We start from the raw sequence: 17,628 nt of genomic DNA, 5'->3' as shown, positions 1-17,628 counted from the left end.
GCTTTAATATACATCTCTGGTATATATGGAAACTATAAGTTGAATGTAGGTTGTGTAAAAATAATTGCATTATATTGCCTTAGTGTAACATAAGAAGTAAATATAAGGATAGTTACCATTTTTAATCACTTATGCTATAGCACTTAGTTATCCTATTTGATCTCTGTAACAACTGGTAGTTGCTATTGTTAATTCTTATTTGATAGATGAGGAAACTAAAGTTCAAAGACATAAGTAACTGGCCCAGGGATACATAGAAAGGGAAAGTGTCAGAGCTGAGACCAAACTCAGTGTGTTAGTTTCTTATTACTGCTGTAACAAATTGTCATAAACGTAATTGTTTAAAACAATACATTTATTATCTTGGAATTCAGGAGGCCGGAAATATGAAATAAGTTTCACTGGGCTAGAATCAAGGTTTTGGCAGGTCTGCATTCCTTCAGAAGGCTCTAAGGGAGAATCCATATAAGGTAACAATTTCACAAGTTCTGGGGATTTGGACATCTTTGTGGGGTCATTATTCTGCCTACCACACCCAGTGAAGAAAAAATTTTAAAAATATTCCATTGTATCCTCTCAGCATCTCACAGAAAGGAAGACCAGTTATTATCATCCCATTGTGCAGGTAAAGGATCCTGAGGCAGAAGGAATTTGTGACTTTGCCAGAGTTTTCTAACTAGTTAGCCCAAAGGGATCTTTTAAGTCCAGAAAGTTCTCTGCTGTATCATACTTCCATAACATTTTTATCAGCATTACACATCTGATGCTAATATAGGTATATTGCTTTCATGTCTCTAGATAATCAAATTTGAATTCAACCCAAATTAGACTTGATTCAGTGCCCTTGCCATCTGTTAGCTTGTTTGATAGTTTCTGGTATAAAAGACATCTTTTCCTGAAGGATAAAGAAATAAGCCCAGGATAAAATGGATGCAGTGTCTTGACTTCATTCGGGTTACTTTGAAAATCTCCGTTTGCTAGTGTTTAGACTCAATAGCTGAAGGTACATATATGGAAATCTTGGACTTTCTATATCCTCTCTTATATGTCACAAACAATTTTTTTCTTTTATATTAAAAAAGAGACATAAAAGGGTTATCTTAGACTAGACTTTTTTAGATCTGGTTTCAATTTTCTTTGTATAGAACTTTTTTCAACACTCATTTCCTGGCTTTCCATTATGCCAGTAAGTAGTTGAATCTATACTGTCAGTTTACTTGCTAGTCTGTAGACAAATCTTCCCTAACTTCCAAAAATAGTTAAGAACAGACTGGAGATAGTCCTTCAAAAATTAGTACAATGGAAAGAAACCCTTTAGATAACATCTATGTTTTATTGCTGCTATACAAAGCAGTAATGGAGGTGGTAAAGACAAATATTATTATTTAATAATTGGTCATGACTTCCTATTTTTCTTAGGCCATTCTTTCAGTTTTTCACCAGTGAGTTAGTTCTCTATAGTTAAGTATTTCTGTCTTACCAAAACCAGGTATTTTCACACATTTCACACATTAGGCTTTAGCTGTTTTATAACCCATCATTTTATATTGTTTTATTCTAAATAGAAGATTGGTTTTTTTGTTTCATTTTCCTAGCTTTTTTACTTTGGCAGAAAGAATGGTGTTTTTTCCCTATACAACATTGCCTAGAATTCATAGTTCTTCTAGTTAATGTAAGCATTGTAATTAAGAAAGTAGAGGAAAAGATGAACATAATATTCGCCCTAAGAGGAAGTTGCTGGCCTCACTGATATAAGTTCTGTGGAAACAATACTGAGAGTGACGGTATCGTTTTCCCAAAGATACTAGTGACTCTAGACAAGGGAGTGGTCAAGTACAGAGAGGAATGGGATGTCCTGAGATCAGAAACTAGAGAAGATATGTGGTTACCAAAGATTATAGAAACAGCATGATTGCATAGAGTTGAGTGGGACTTTGTAATGAGTCAGGCCTGGGTTCAAATCCCAGCATACTACTTAAAAGTGGTATAGCATTGCACAAGGAATTGAATATCTTCAATCCGCCATTTTATTAAAATGTACTAAAATGATGATAGTTACTGCCCCTCAAGATTATTGTATTGAATTAAAGATGCGTCATACATAGTAGTACCTGAAGCACTGTATATAGTAGCTGTAAAGATAAAAGCAACAGATTTAAGTTGACGGGCAGATGCAAAGCACAGTTTGCTTAATGTTGGATTTTCTCACCAACTCTGTTGAAAGTCTTGGGGAAAAGCCACACTCAGAGCCTTGTCCCTTATTTCAGAGTAGCATGGATCCGTTTTTAGCCCAACCTGTTCCTAGACCTGTATGAGCCTGGAGCTGAGCAGGAGCACTGTGAGAGTCTTGAAAGAAAAATTGGAAGCCTAACTGGAAATGTAAAACATGGTTTTCTTGTTAGAACCCCTTTATCAACCGAAGTCCATAGTTTACATAAGGATTTTCTCTTTTTGTTGTACATTCTATGAGGTTTGACAAATGTATAATGACAACTGTGTAATGTATCCACCATTATAGTATCATATAGAATAGTTTCACTGCCCTAAAATTCCCCTCTGCTCCACCTATTCATTCCTCCGTTCCCCCTTATTCCTGGCAACCACTGATCTTTTTACTATCTCAACATTTGGTTTTGCATTTTCCAGAATGTCATATATTTAGAATCATACAATATCTAGCCTTTTCAGATTGATTGGCCTCTTTCACTTAATAATGTGCATTCAAGGTTCTTCTATGTCTTTGTCTTTTCTTGGCTTGGTAACTCATTTTTGTCATTAGATAGTATTTGTTGTATGGGTATACCACAGTTTGTCCATTCACTTTCCTTACTTCAAGTTTTAGCAATTATGACTAAAACTACTGTAAGCATTTTTCCTTTCATAATTGAGATTTTGTTGGTTGTGTTGAGGACCAGTCCACAGATATCTCAATTTGTACACAATTCTTAACATACGTACCAAGAATCTAAAAAGCTTATGTGTTGCAGTTCTTTTTTAAAGTTATTTTGTCTTTTGTTGCCATTGCTTTTGGTGTTTTAGACATGAAGTCCTTGCCCATGCCTATGTCCTGAATGGTAATGCCTGGGTTTTCTTCTAGGGTTTTTATGGTTTTAGATCTAACGTTTAAGTCTTTAATCCATCTTGAATTGATTTTTGTATAAGGTGTAAGGAAGGGATCCAGTTTCAGCTTTCTACCTATGGCTAGCCAGTTTTCCCAGCACCATTTATTAAATAGGGAATCCTTTCCCCATTTCTTGTTTTTCTCAGGTTTGTCAAAGATCAGACAGTTGTAGGTATGCGGCGTTATTTCTGAGGGCTCTGTTCTGTTCCATTGATCTATATCTCTGTTTTGGTACCAGTACCATGCTGTTTTGGTTACTGTAGCCTTGTAGTATAGTTTGAAGTCAGGTAGTGTGATGCGATCTAATTAAACTAAAGAGCTTCTGCACAGCAAAAGAAACTACCATCAGAGTGAACAGGCAACCTACAAAATGGGAGAAAATTTTCGCAACCTACTCGTCTGACAAAGGGCTAATATCCAGAATCTACAATGAACTCAAACAAATTTACAAGAAAAAAACAAACAACCCCATCAAAAAGTGGGCGAAGGACATGAACAGACACTTCTCAAAAGAAGACATTTATGCAGCCAAAAAACACATGAAAAAATGCTCATCATCACTGGCTATCAGAGAAATGCAAATCAAAACCACTATGAGATACCATCTCACACCAGTTAGAATGGCAATCATTAAAAAGTCAGGAAACAACAGGTGCTGGAGAGGATGTGGAGAAATAGGAACACTTTTACACTGTTGGTGGGACTGTAAACTAGTTCAACCATTGTGGAAGTCAGTGTGGCGATTCCTCAGGGCTCTAGAACTAGAAATACCATTTGACCCAGCCATCCCATTACTGGGTATATACCCAAAGGACTATAAATCATGCTGCTATAAAGACACATGCACATGTATGTTTATTGCGGCATTATTCACAATAGCAAAGACTTGGAACGAACCCAAATGTCCAACAATGATAGACTGGATTAAGAAAATGTGGCACATATACACCATGGAATACTATGCAGCCATAAAAAATGATGAGTTCATGTCCTTTGTAGGGACATGGATGAAATTGGAAATCATCATTCTCAGTAAACTATCGCAAGAACAAAAAACCAAACACCGCATATTCTCACTCATAGGTGGGAATTGAACAATGAGATCACATGGACACAGGAAGGGGAATATCACACTCTGGGGACTGTGATGGGGTGGGGGGAGGGGGGAGGGATAGCATTGGGAGATATACCTAATGCTAGATGACGAGTTAGTGGGTGCAGCGCACCAGCATGGCACATGTATACATATGTAACTAACCTGCACAATGTGCACATGTACCCTAAAACTTAAAGTATAATAAAAAAAATAAAAAATAATTAATAATAAAGTTATTCCAGTGACTTCCCAGCTTAAAATTTGGAGGCAGTTTCCTTACATGGCTATCAAGTACTGGCTATCAAGCATCTTCACATGTTCATAAGCTGTTACATACATCCTACCAATTCACAATTTAATAGCATATACACTATATACTCAAAGTTTTCATCTTTCACAGCACATTAACAGTTATTAGGGAAACAGGACTGCCACAACCAAAGATGTTACAGAGTGCACACAATTCTGATAAGGAGAGCCATGAGCCAGGAGTATTTTTCTTTAGGAATCAATTCTGCTATAAAACAACATGGGAATAGGAGTAATTTAAAATGTTCAAGAGATTAAATGCAGAACTGTGGCTCCATATTGCCAGTTAGTATGCTTTGTATTATAGGATATAACTATATCCTAAAACTAACCCTTCATCTATGGAATGTTAAGCTGAAACCCAAGACAGTCAGAGCCTCCCATAACTCAATATCCTACACCATCTTCTGTTGTACCAAAAACTAGCAAATTATTTAACTTCTTTTTTTTTTTTTTTAAAAAAAGGCATTTGATCTTAAAAAAAAAATGGGATGAGATGGGATTCCATGCTTCTTGAAAATGTGTCTAGAGCTACTAAAAAAACTTGCACTTACAAAATAGTTGATAAAAATATTCCTCTGAATTGTACAAGAAGAGAAATAGTGACCACTGATAAGACATGTTATAAGATATTAATCAGACTTGGCTTCTTTCTCTCTGGCTTCATCAAAGGCTGGACATGCCTCGTTTTTAGTCTTTCCATTTTCTGCACGTAAATCTTCTTTAATTTCTTGATTAGCCACTTTGGCCTGTTTTCCCTTTGTTCCCCTTTTCCCTTTTTTTGAACTTTTTTGTCTGAAGATTTGTCCTTTCCTGCTGCCTTTTTTTTTGGACAGAGTCTCACTCTGTTGCCGGGGCTGGAGTGCAGTGGCACAATCTCAGCTTACTGCAACCTCTGCCTCCTGGGTTCAAGCAATTCTCCTGCCTCAGCCTCCTGAGTAGCTGGGATTACAGGTGCTCACCACTACTCCAAGCTAATTTTTTTGTATTTTTAGAAGAGACGGGGTTTCACCATGTTGCCAGGCTGGTCTTAAACTCCTGACCTTGTGATTCACCTGCCTCGGCCTCCCAAAGTGCTGGGATTGGCTTCCTTTCCACTTTTGCAGGAGCAGATTTAGCTGACCACCAGGCCAATCTCCTTGGGCTCTTCCTTCAGTTGGGCATCTTGGCAGTGGGGAGGGTATGACCTGGTGCCTGCAGGCTGCGGCGCAATGAGAGCCTTTGTGAAGCTGGGCTGCCTGGACACTGCTGCTCCTCTCACCACCCAAGCTGCTCCTATAAACACTTACATGCAGGTTTTGTTTGGACATAAGTTTTCAGCTCTTTTGGGTAAATGCCAAGAAGTATGATTGCTGGATTGTATGGTAAGAGTTATGTTTAGTTTTTCAAGAAACTGCCATACTGTCTTCCAAAGGGTCTGTACCATTTTGCATTCCCGATAGCAATGGATAAGTTTCTGTTGCTCCATATCCTTGCTGTCATTTGGTTTTGTCACTATTGTAGATTTTATACATTCTAATAGGTGTGTAGTGGTACCTTACTGTTTTAATTTGCAATTCCCTAATAACGTGATGTGGTGCATCTTTTTATTTGCTATCTGTATATTGTCTTTATCTGTTTCTTCAGGTCTTTTGCACACTTTTTAAATTGGTTGTTCATTTTCTTATTGTTGAGAATTAAGAGTTATTTTTGTATTTTGAATAACAGTCCCTTTGCAGATACGTGTTGCAAATATTTCGTATCACTATGTGGCTTGTGTTCTCATTTTCTTCACAGTATCTTTTGCAGAGTAGACGTTTTTAATTTTAATGAGGTTCAGCTTACCAGTGCTTTCTGTCAAGGATCATGCCTTTGGTGTCAAATCTAAAAAGTCATCACTAAACTCACCATCATCTATATTTTCTCCTATGTTATCATTTAGGAGTTTTATTGTTTTATGTTTTACATTGAGGCCATTGATTCACTGGGAGTTAATTTCTGTGAAGGATATAGTATCTGTATTGAGATTTTTTTTTTTTTTTTGGATGTCCAGTTGTTTCAGTACCATTTGTGAAAAAGGCTATGCTTTCTCCACTGAATTTCCTTTGTCAGATCAATTGACTGTATTTGTATGGATCTGTTTCTGGTCTATCTGTTCTGTTCCATTGATCTATTTGTCTGTTCTTTTGCCAGTATCATACTGTCTTGATTACTGTAGCTTTATAGTATGTCTTGAAGTTGGGTAATGTCAGTCCTCCAATTTTGCTCTTCATCAAAATTGTGTTTATTCTTTGGGTTGTGCTCTTGATTTTAAAACACAAGAATAAAACTTCATCATTGTATTCTGCTTTGCCTACCTATTCAAGCAATAATATAAATGATTTTTAAATTTTCACAGCTACTATTTCCCAGATTTTTATTGTCTCTATGTTTTATTGACTATTGAACAATACCAGTTTGAACGGCGTGGGTCCACTTACATGCAGATTTTTTTCAATAAAAGTTATGCTGTGAGTGCCTGCCTCTCTTACGTCCCCTTCCACCTCCTCTTCTGCCTGTGCCACTCTTCAGACACCAAAACCAACCCCTACTCTTCTTCCTCCTCCTCAGCCTACTCAACATTAAGACAATGAGGATGAAGACCCTTACAATGATCCACTTTCACTTAATGCATAAATACATTTTCTTTTATGTTTTTCTTTTTTTTTTTTTTTTCTGAGACAGGGTCTGGCTCTGTCGCCCAGGCTGGAGTGCAATGGTATGATCATAGCTCACTGCAATCTCTGCCTCTTGGGCTTAAGCCATCCTCCCACCTCAGCCTACCAAGTAGCTGGGACTACAGGTGCGCACTGCCACACCCAGGTAATTTTTGTATTTTTGGTAGAGACAGGGTTTTGCCATGTTGCCTAGGCTGCTCTTGAACTCCTGAGCTCAAGCAGTCTGCCCACCTCGGCCTCCCAAAGATGATTTTCATTTTTTTTTTTTGAGATGGAGTCTCACTCTGTCACCTAGGCTGGAGTGCAGTGGCATGATCTCGGCTCACTGCAAGCTCCGCCTCCGGGTTCGCATCATTCTCCTGCCTCAGCCTCCTGAGTAGCTGGGACTACAGGCACCTACCACCATGCCCAGCTATTTTTTTTTTATTTTTTTTAGTAGAGACGGGGTTTCACCGTGTTAACCAGGATGGTCTCGATCTCCTGACCTCGTGATCCGCCCACCTCGGATTCCCAAAGTGCTGGGATTACAGGAGGTGTGAGCCACCGCACCCAGCCCCAAAGATGATTTTCTTAATAACATTTTCCTTTCTCTAGTTTACTTTTTTGTAAAAATACAGTATATAGTACATACAATGTACAAAATATGTGTTAATCAACTGTATGTTATGAGTAAGGCTTCTGGTCAGCAGCAGGCTATTAGTAGTTAGGTTCTGTGGTAGTCAAAAGTTATATGCAGATTTTTTATCACATGAGGGGTCGGCACTCCTAACCCATGTTGTTCAAGGATCTGAGAAATAATCTAGTGCTAAATTGCAAGGTGCGCAATTGAGCAACACCCCACAAATCCAGGCAGAAAACATGATGCTTCTTGAACATAGAGGTTTTAAATAGCTAAATGTGAAACTGCATCCAAAAGACTAAATGTGAAACTGCATCTAAGACTGCACCCAGTCTTAGATTACAGGCAGCTTTAACTAGAAGACTGCTTTAATATTAAAGCTTAGCCTGATTTGGAACAATATTGGAGTCTAAAATGAATACCAAGTTTGACAAAAAGCAGATGAATCAGATGCACAAAGGGAGCCAGTGTGATCTAAGTATGACATCTAACACAGTTAGGGTTGGAGATTCTGCTTCTGCTTCTGTCTTTAAGATACAATGCTGAGTTAGTCATTTATGCCCCTAGCTAAGTGACAGGCTGTATTCCAAGGTGCTAGGCATTCCTTGGAATGTGGCCATGAATATATTAACATAAAAACAAACTCTGAATTAGCTTTTCCCATATGATATACCAAAATGATGAAAAAGCAATATTTGGGATATGCTAGAACTTCAAGCAGTATATCTAGCATATCAACACTAGAAAGAGCCTTTGACTAATCAAAGGGAGGCAGAAATGATCATTTTTTTATGAGGTAAATCTTTAGTTTCTTGATTAGCCACTTTGGCCTGTGATGTTTGGAAATAGGAAAACAGTGGCATTAAGACACAAAGGCTTGGGCCAGGCGCAGTGGCTCATGCCTGTAATCCCAGTACTTTGGGAGGCCGAGGCAGGAGGATCACGAGGTCAGGAGATCAAGACCATCCTGGCTAACACGATGAAACCCCATCTCTACTAAAAATACAAAAAAAATAGCCAGGTGTGGTGGCGGGTGCCTGTAGTCCCAGGTACTCGGGAGGCGGAGGCAGGAGAATGGCGTGAACCCGGGAGGTGGAGCTTGCAGTGAGCTGAGATTTCAACACTGCACTCCAGCCTGGGTGACAGAGTTAGACTCCATCTCAAAAAAAAAAAAAAAAAAAAAAAGACACAAAGGCTTATCAATTTATACAGTAAAACTAAGGGTTGATATATGTCTTAAAGTTGGAAAGACATGGAGTGGTAGAACCCCTTTTTACTAATCTGTTCCCTGAAATCAATAACATTAGTCTTGAGTTGCTTGAACTCAACTTGATGCATTTAGTGTATGACATGTAAATCTGAGGAGAAATGCTAAAACATTTGGTAGCATCTACATAGTTGATAAAGAGCTCACATCACAGTATATGAAGAAATTTTTTAAATAATATATTTTACTCCAGAGGTAAGTTATGGTAAAGTATGAGTCTATATGTATATGTACTACCTAAAATTAGTTAGAAGGAAAAATATAGAAAGAAAGAAGAAATTTAACCATTTCCCTACCAAGCAGAATGACATGAAGCACGTTTGACCCTAATGGAAGATCTTTCAAACATGAAACAATCACCTGCTAACATTAAAGTTTCTATTGAATATGCCCTTTATTCAGTTTATCTCCTCCTCTAATTTTGTTGTCAGTAGTTCTGAAATGAGTAGATTTTCAAAATAAATAAACAAAAGCCTTTTAGATATTGAATATGGTTTTCAAATTGAGGGGACTTTTAAACTGTAAAATGTGAATCTACTATGCTATATTCACAGTTTGATAAAACTTGGTGGTTTTCAGTAGAGTGCTTCTTAAACTTTAATATGTTTATAAAGTACCTGGGCATCTTGTAAAAATGTAGATTATGATTCAGTAGGTCTGGGGCTACAGACCATACATTGAGTAGTGAATTTTAGAATGTACAGTTGACCCTTGAACAATGTAGAGGTTGGGATGCTGACCCCACACACAGTCAAAAATCTGCATATAACTTTTGACTCCTCAAAAACCTGACCACTGTTGACCATAAGCCTTATCAATAATATAAACAGTTGATTAACACTTATTTTGTATTCTATATGTACGATATACTATATTCTTACAATAAAGTAAGCTGGAGAAAAAATGCTATTAAGAAAATCATAAGGAAGAGAATATATTTACTATTGACTAAGTGAAAGTGGATCATCATAAAGGCCTTCATCTTGTCTTCACGTTGAGTAGTCCGAGGAGGAGGAAGAAGAAGGGTTGGTTTTGCTATCTCAAGGGTGACAGAGGCAGAAGAGACTGAACAGGTGGAAATAGGCAGGAAAGATAGGCCCACTTGATGTAACTTTATGGAAATATATTGTAATTTGTCTGAATTTTTTTGCTATTTTATTTCTCTAAAAATGTTTCCATACAGTACCAATCTTTCTTCCATTGTTTGCTTTAGTTTAGTGCCTGTATCATAGAGAAGGGTCCATGTTGTAAAAGAAGTCAATAGCAGTCTTGAATCGTCAGAATCCTTCTACTGGATTGTCTAACCTCAATCTGTTTTCTGGCACTGCTTCTTCTACATCTTCATCTTCATTGTCTGGCGCTGGTTTGGAAGCAGTCATCTCCATCAAGTCATCTTCCGTAAATTCTTCTGATGTGAGGTATATTAGCTCTTCAGTGTCTCCAAGAGCCATATCTCGACACCTTTTACACACACACACCCTACACTATTTTTGCCATATCCGCAGTCTCTGTCATGATTTCTTTGATTAACTCTGTCATAAATCCCTTGAAGTCATGTACAACATGTGGACACAGAGTTTTCCAGAGGAATTTATTGTTTGGGGCTTGATGGCTTTCACAACTTTTTCTGTAACAACAATGTCATCTTCAACAGTTTAATCCTTCCAGGCTTTCATGGTGTTCTCTCTATCAGAGCTCTCTTTCACAATGTTGGCAGTCCTTTCCACATGGAACTTTGTATAAGCCTTAAAGGTCCTATGGCCCCCGATCTAGAGGCTGAATTAGAGACATTGTGTTTGATGGCAAGTAGACCACTTCGATATCTACAGTGTTGAACTCATGGTATTCTGGGTGGCCAGGGACATTGCCTAATACCAAATGAACTTTAAAAGGCAGTCTCTTACTGGCAAAGTACTTTCTGACTTCAGGAACAAAGCATTGATGGAACCAATCTGGAAAAAGGGTTCTCATTCAGACCTTCTTGCTGTATAAACAAGAGTGGCAGCTGGGGCTTATCATTTCTCTTCAAGACTTGGGGATTACTAGCTTTATAGATAGGGATAGTCCCAATCATAAATCTGACCACATTTGTGCAAAACAGTCGAGTTAGCCTATCCCTTCCTGCCTTAAATCCTGGTGCTTACTTCTCTTCCATACAAATAGATGAAATAAATGTCCTTGGTGGCTTTTTCCCCCCACAAAATAGGGCACTTCATTTGCACTAAAAGCCTGCTCAGGCAGATATCCTTCCTCAATGATTTTCTTAATAGCATCTAGGAATTTATCTGCTGCCTCTTGGTTGGCAGAAGCTGCTTCTCCTGTTATCTTGACATTTTTTAAGCCAAATCTTTTTCTAGAATTATCAAACCATCCTTTGCTGACATTAAATTCTCTAGCTCCTTCACTTTCCCTTTGCTTTAAGTTGTCATATAATGACCTCACTTTTTCTTGAATAATATTACAGTCTCTAAGTATACCTTTCTTATAGCAATCCTGCACCCATACAAATGCTGTTTTCAATATGATACAAAAAGGTATTTCTCAAAAAATGCAAGATTTTCATGCCTGCTAGCCTTGCTGCATTGATGGCTCATGAACTTCATTTTCTGTTTTTTATACTGGTCCTTAGGCTAGATTCATTTATCTTGCAATGGTGGGCAGTTAAAGCTACAGACCTCAAACTACAGTACATAACAAGCAATTCAGCTTTTTCTTAAAGTGTCATAACTTTTCTCTGCTTCTTGGGAGCACCTCCAGCATCACTGGTGGCATTTCATATGGGTCCTATGTGTTATTTAAGGTTTACAGCATTGCACTAAAAATAAACATGATATGATAAATACACAAGAACCTCAAGAAATCACTTTTTACTATAATACACAATTTATTGGAGAGATGAACTGTTCATGTGGAGATGATTAGCATCGCATGGCCTTTTAAGCAGATAGAATACTTGAGTGTACCTCAGTAGCAACAGAAGGTGGCTACAAAATTATTACAGTAGTATAGTATGTATTATAATATGTGGTTATTCATATACTTATGCAGTTATTTAATACTACATCTTTACATTTGTTTACATTTCTCTCATTTAAGTTTTGATAAATTTTAACTTTTTATAATAGATTTGTATATACTCTATGATAGTAAATGATAAAATATACTATCCATATATTTTATGTATTCATGACATACCTATCTTTTTCATAATTTTTTTAATATTTCTAGGTTACATGGTTTGTCTGCGAGTTTTATCAAATTGTCACAAATCACCATAAAATTTTCCAATATATTTATTGAAAAAATCCATATGTAAGTTGAACTGCGCAGTTCAAACCCATGTTGTTCAAGGGTCAACTGTAGTCTGAAAATTGTCGTGGTCTACTTAGATTATTATAAATCATTGCTTTCCTTTCAGTTAGTCAGAGTTCTTAGTTCCCTAACATGGTTTCTTTTAAATGTTTGGGCTAGGAATTACACTTGGTTTTGATGTCTTGTTTTCCTGGGTTTTGTCTTATCTCAGAACACAAGACTCTTATAAAAACCTACTTCTCTGCTAGATGCTGTATCAAAATATTATTAAGGTAGAAAAAAGGTAAAGGTAGAACCAAAAATTTAAAAATAACAGAAATCTATCAAAAATTATTAGACCAAAGTAACAGAAACTTTCAAAAGATTATTTAATCATTGCATAGAAACCTCTTGATGAATATGTTCTTGCTATTTTGGACTTTCAATTATGTCCAAATTAATTAAATTCTGTTTGGATAATATATAAATTTCACCTCTTGTTTTTAGGCAAGATCCCAAGGAAAGTAATAAAATGGCCTTTGTCATGAAGGAGGCTTTTCTGGTAACTACAAATTTTGTTGTTTCTGTCATTGGCTATCCTTCCCTAAGCATTCTTTTGGGTGATATTCTCATTTTAAGCAATATCTATTGCCATGTATCAGAAACAAGCACAAATGTCTCAAAATTCTGTCTTCCAAGCTGTTTTAGTCTGGGTGTGGTGGCTCATGCCTGTAATCCCGGCACTATGGGAGGCCAAGGCAGGTGGATCACTTGAGCCCAGGAGTTTGAGACCAGCCTGGGAAATGTGACAAAACCCTGTATCTTAAAAAAAAAAAAAAAAATTAGCCAGGCATAGTGGCAGACACCTGTAGTCCCAGCTACTCAGGAGGCTGAGGTGAGAGGATCACCTGACCCTGGGGAGGTCGAGGCTGCAGTGAGCCATGATCGCACCATTGCACTCCAGCCTGAGTGACAGAGTGAGACCCTGTCTGTAAATTAGTTAATTAATTAATTAATTAAGCTGTCTTAGAAGGTTAAAGTATATTGTTTTTAATTTTTAAAGTATACCAAAAAATCACATTTTCTATTATAACCTCTCAGTTTCTCTGAAAGTAATCATATTTAGGCTGTTATTCAGTGATGTTTCCTTCCAAGTTGATTATTTTTCCTACCATTTGCTATTATCTGGGGGAAAACACTAACATTTGTTAGTGCTTGCTGTATACCAGTTAACATGCATGTGTCACAACACCCTTTTTTCTCCAAAGCCCATGTTTTATGTATGCCTTGCTGTCTCCCTACCTAATCAGCTGCTCAGTTTTCAGTGCCTTCAACAAATAAGAAACCAGTGTTTCTCAGTAAATTTAGAGAGATTTGGGGAATTTCCTACTATTAGAATACATTTGAAATTATGTTGATCCAAGATAGTATAAAATAGAAGAGTGATGAGTATGAGGAGCTAAGAAAACTAATGACTTCTAAGATTTCTGTCACATTCAAAAAAGAGTACCTAGTAGGATTCCGAGACCTACCAGTAGGTTATTATATACCTTTCTCTCCAATGCTAACAACATTTGAGGAAAATCAGAGCATGGCAACCTGTCGTGCAGGATTGCCATTTGCACTATTTTATTCCTTCAGCTAGCAGTGCTCAGGCTTTCACCGGCTGACAGACAAATTGAGGAGGAAGGGAGTTGGATCAAGAGCCTCATTTGATCTGTCCTTCACCCATTGTCCATTTAACAAATGACCTTGATGAGTCTGTAAGATCTTCTCTTTAGTAGAAACACTATAGACCCAATATTTAGCTGGCTCTTGCTTACGAAGGTTAAACAGATTATACAGGGATAGCAAGGCTCACCAGCTGCTTAGCATGAAATATTGAGTGATCTGGAGGGAGACACAAGAGTGATGGCATTGCTACTGCAAATAATTGCAGAAGACACTTGTGAGTATTGCACAGTAAATCTGCACCTTCCGTGGGCACTCATTTGAGGGGAGGCTTCCTCAGGATGGAGCGTCGGCAACACATGTCTAATAGGTGCATTCATTTTAATATGCTCATTCATTGAATAGGCCTGATTAATTAGTACATGTCACCATCTGGTACTTAGTGAGACTATTCATTTTTAAAATGTTGAAATTGCAGGGAATGGTGCACACCAATTAAAATCCTTTTAACTGAATGGTTTTGGTATAAAGTATACATGTAGGAGGACTTCATTGGAATTCAGCATGCATCTAAGGTTACACACATCAGCCTGAAGTCAATTAGAACAAAAGAAGTCAAGAGAGGGGAAAATGAAAGAAGAGCTGTCCTTTTTCTGAATGTGTCTGCTCAGATATTATGCTTTCTCTCTGTTTTTCTATTCTTCCTCTCACTTGTCTTGATTGTCCTCCTACCTTTTATTTATTTTGGGTTCATTTCTTTTTCTCTCACCTTCTATTTTTTATCTTTTGTTATTGTTCCCCACTTCCTCATCTCCTCCCCACCTCATCGTTTTCCAGTCACTAGTTAAGACAGGAGAGTTGGGTTAATAACTTTAATGATACAGTAAAATTTTAGTTCTCTATGTTCCTTTGAAAGAATGAATTCTAGTTGGCCAAAGTTTCTGGATAACTGTGGGTTTGAGCTCTTTAAGCATTAAAATATTTTCAGTTTGAATAGTCATTTGGTGCTTATGTGACCTAAATTGTTTTTAAAATGCATACTAAGATTTAGGGTGCTTTTTTTCTCTGTCTTTATTTTTATAGTTTTCTATAAAGAGTAATTATTTTATAATTAAATAAACTTATAGTAAATAAAATAAGTTGTTTAAAAATCTTTCCAAAATACATTTCACATTTTAGTTGTTTGCTTCCCTTCTTAAACACAGAACCCCGAACATAATTTACTATTTTCTTGCTATCTTGCTGTAATTGGTGTCAACATCAATTACAGTGCTATTCTAAAATATAGTGATGCCCTTAAGGGATATAGGGCTATTTGCCCACATGGAAAAGCTTTTTCAGTTCTTAAGTTTGGTTCTTGTATTTTTCTTTCTCCCCCTTTGCTGTCAGGTAGTCACTTGTCACTTGCCACTTCTGTCTGAATGCTGCTGTCTCCTTCTAAGTTATTTTGGTCTATGAAACCAGATAGCAGAGCATCATTTATTCATCTGTTCAAGAAACATACAGTGCCAAGACTGAATAAGATATATCTCCTGCACTCAAGGAGCTAAGACTAGTGGGGGTCGGGGGGTGGAGTAAGGTATGCAAAAGCCATATGATGGGAATCTGGGGAAGGGAGCAGTTAATTCTAAGAGGAGGATGTGAGACTTCACAGGGGAATTAAAATTTGACTGGAGGATCAAAAGATCTATAGGATTTTGAACAATTGCTATATGAGTGGACATGGAGGAGATAATGGCTGCTTTAAAAATGGTAAGTCAGTAGCAGATCACAAAGAGCATTAAATTTTATTCTAAGGAGTTTAAATGTATTATATATGCAACTGAGAACAATTAATGGCTTTATGAAGAGTTAAAGTAGTTAAGGAGCTGTATTTTAGAGGAACTGGGACACAAAATATACTATCTCAGTATTTCAGACAAAGAGCAATGAAAATCCAGGACTCAAGTTATAGCTAGATGGGTCAAAGGGAGAGGACAGATTAGGAAAGATAAAACCTGACAATTGATTGGATATAGCATGAGAAGGACCAGGAGGAGTCAAAAGTTGACCCAGTCTGAATGTCTGCCAATGTTTTGATACCATTTACTGTTATGGTACCTAGAAAAAGGTTGAGCATACTGTGTTTTGGAGGAAAGATGTAATTAGTTGTGTTTGGAAAGGTCTAGTAGGCAGCCGAAGTCTGGAGCTTCAGACGACAGGAGCAAGAGGTATAATTCTGGAATATAGATTATAAAGTATATGTTATATGGCAAACTCTGGAAAGTTGTTCCACCCTTAAATATTTGGGAATAGACAAGATCACAGAAGAGATGGCTAGAGAGTTAGATTAGTTTAGTTTAGTTTAGTTTAGTTTAGTTTAGTTTAGTTTAGTTTAGTTTAGTTAAGATAGAGTCTCACTCTGTCACCCAGGCTGGAGTGCAGTGGTGCAATCTCTGCTCAGTGCAACCTCTGCCTTCCAGGTTCGAGCAATTCTCCCACCTCAGCTTCCCAAGTAGCTGGGATTACAAGCGCGCACCACTGTGCACAGCTAATTTTTGTATTTTTAGTAGAGACGGGGTTTCGCCATGTTGGCCAGGCTGGTCTCGAACTCCTGACCTCAAGTGAGCCACCACACCTGGTTGACAGTCTTTTTAAAAGGGTAATTGCGGAAAGGACATTTGGGTACCTTTTTTAAAAGAGCGGTGGACACGTATCTCCACTCAAATTAACATTAGAGTCTCATTTGGTTCATAGTAAAGTGGATAGGGGATATACAAATAAGGCAGCCTGAGAGAGACAGCTATAATTCATTAAATTATAAGTAGAGCATTCACCTTTATTTCTGTACAAACAAGATCAATAAAACTAATTTAAGCTGATCAAATTAAATTTGTGTGTAAAATGAGTCTATAAATGAAACTATAAAAGGTGCTTTCCTACTTTGTCTAGTTTTCAGCTGTATCCTGAATAGGTAATCTTGCCAGATAACTATATCCATAGAGAAGAGGTGTTTCTTATATGTGAGAATTATTTTTGTTTCAGGTTATTAAAGATCTCTGACTCCAACTTCATTTGTCTCTTGTTAAATTTGTTTGAATAATTCAAAATGGTATTTTAACCCAAATTTGCATGTATATAATGTTTTGAATAGATTGTAAATTTGGGGAAAGACTTTAAAGGTACTCTTGTTACCAAACAGCATGTTCATTCTGTGAAATATGTCTGTGTGTCTGTGCGTATACACCTTGATCTGTGTACAGAAAAAAGACACAGAAGAGTATGTAGTCAGATTTGGGGGTTTCTTCATTGCTTTTTGCATATTTTTATTTTCTGATTACTTGTATAATATAAAGAATTTTTTTTTCATTTAAAAAAAAAGGTAAGGACCGTTCGGCCTAGAGAGTTTGATAAGTTGTCTGTTTTTACAAATCTTATTAGCAATGGCCTTGAGTGTTGTTGATTTGTGCCTCTGAGGGTTCTCCTAATTGGTGAGTGGTTACGATAGGAATGGAAATACTCCTAGTGCTCTGGCACCCACAAGGGCCAGGGGCCCAGCACCTCTTCAAGAATGGCTGG

General features: G+C 37.3%; 1 protein-coding gene and 1 pseudogene across 34 annotated transcripts in view; one reads left to right on the top strand and one right to left on the bottom strand.

The window, feature by feature from the left end:
* PEAK1 (pseudopodium enriched atypical kinase 1) overlaps positions 1 to 17,628 on the top strand; it is a 320,261-nt gene that overhangs the window by 210,656 nt on the left and 91,977 nt on the right. For 3 of the 34 annotated variants that reach the window (NM_001387086.1, XM_011522038.3, XM_011522036.3), the window contains one exon: positions 12,907 to 12,961. The exons of 28 other annotated variants lie outside the window; for them this stretch is intronic. The gene's annotated coding sequence lies outside the window, so the exon portion shown is untranslated. Of the gene's footprint in view, positions 1 to 374; positions 471 to 12,906; positions 12,962 to 17,628 lie in introns of all 34 variants that reach the window. 3 more of the 34 variants (XM_011522039.3, XM_011522035.3, XM_011522037.3) reach the window with 2 other exon arrangements.
* HMGN1P27 (high mobility group nucleosome binding domain 1 pseudogene 27) lies at positions 4,644 to 5,352 on the bottom strand (annotated as a pseudogene).

This window comes from Homo sapiens, chromosome 15, assembly GCF_000001405.40.
Source record: "Homo sapiens chromosome 15, GRCh38.p14 Primary Assembly".
Taxonomy (NCBI): Eukaryota; Metazoa; Chordata; class Mammalia; order Primates; family Hominidae; genus Homo; species Homo sapiens.
The sequence above is the reverse complement of the archived record's forward strand: the minus strand, read 5'-3'. Positions and strand labels throughout refer to the sequence as shown.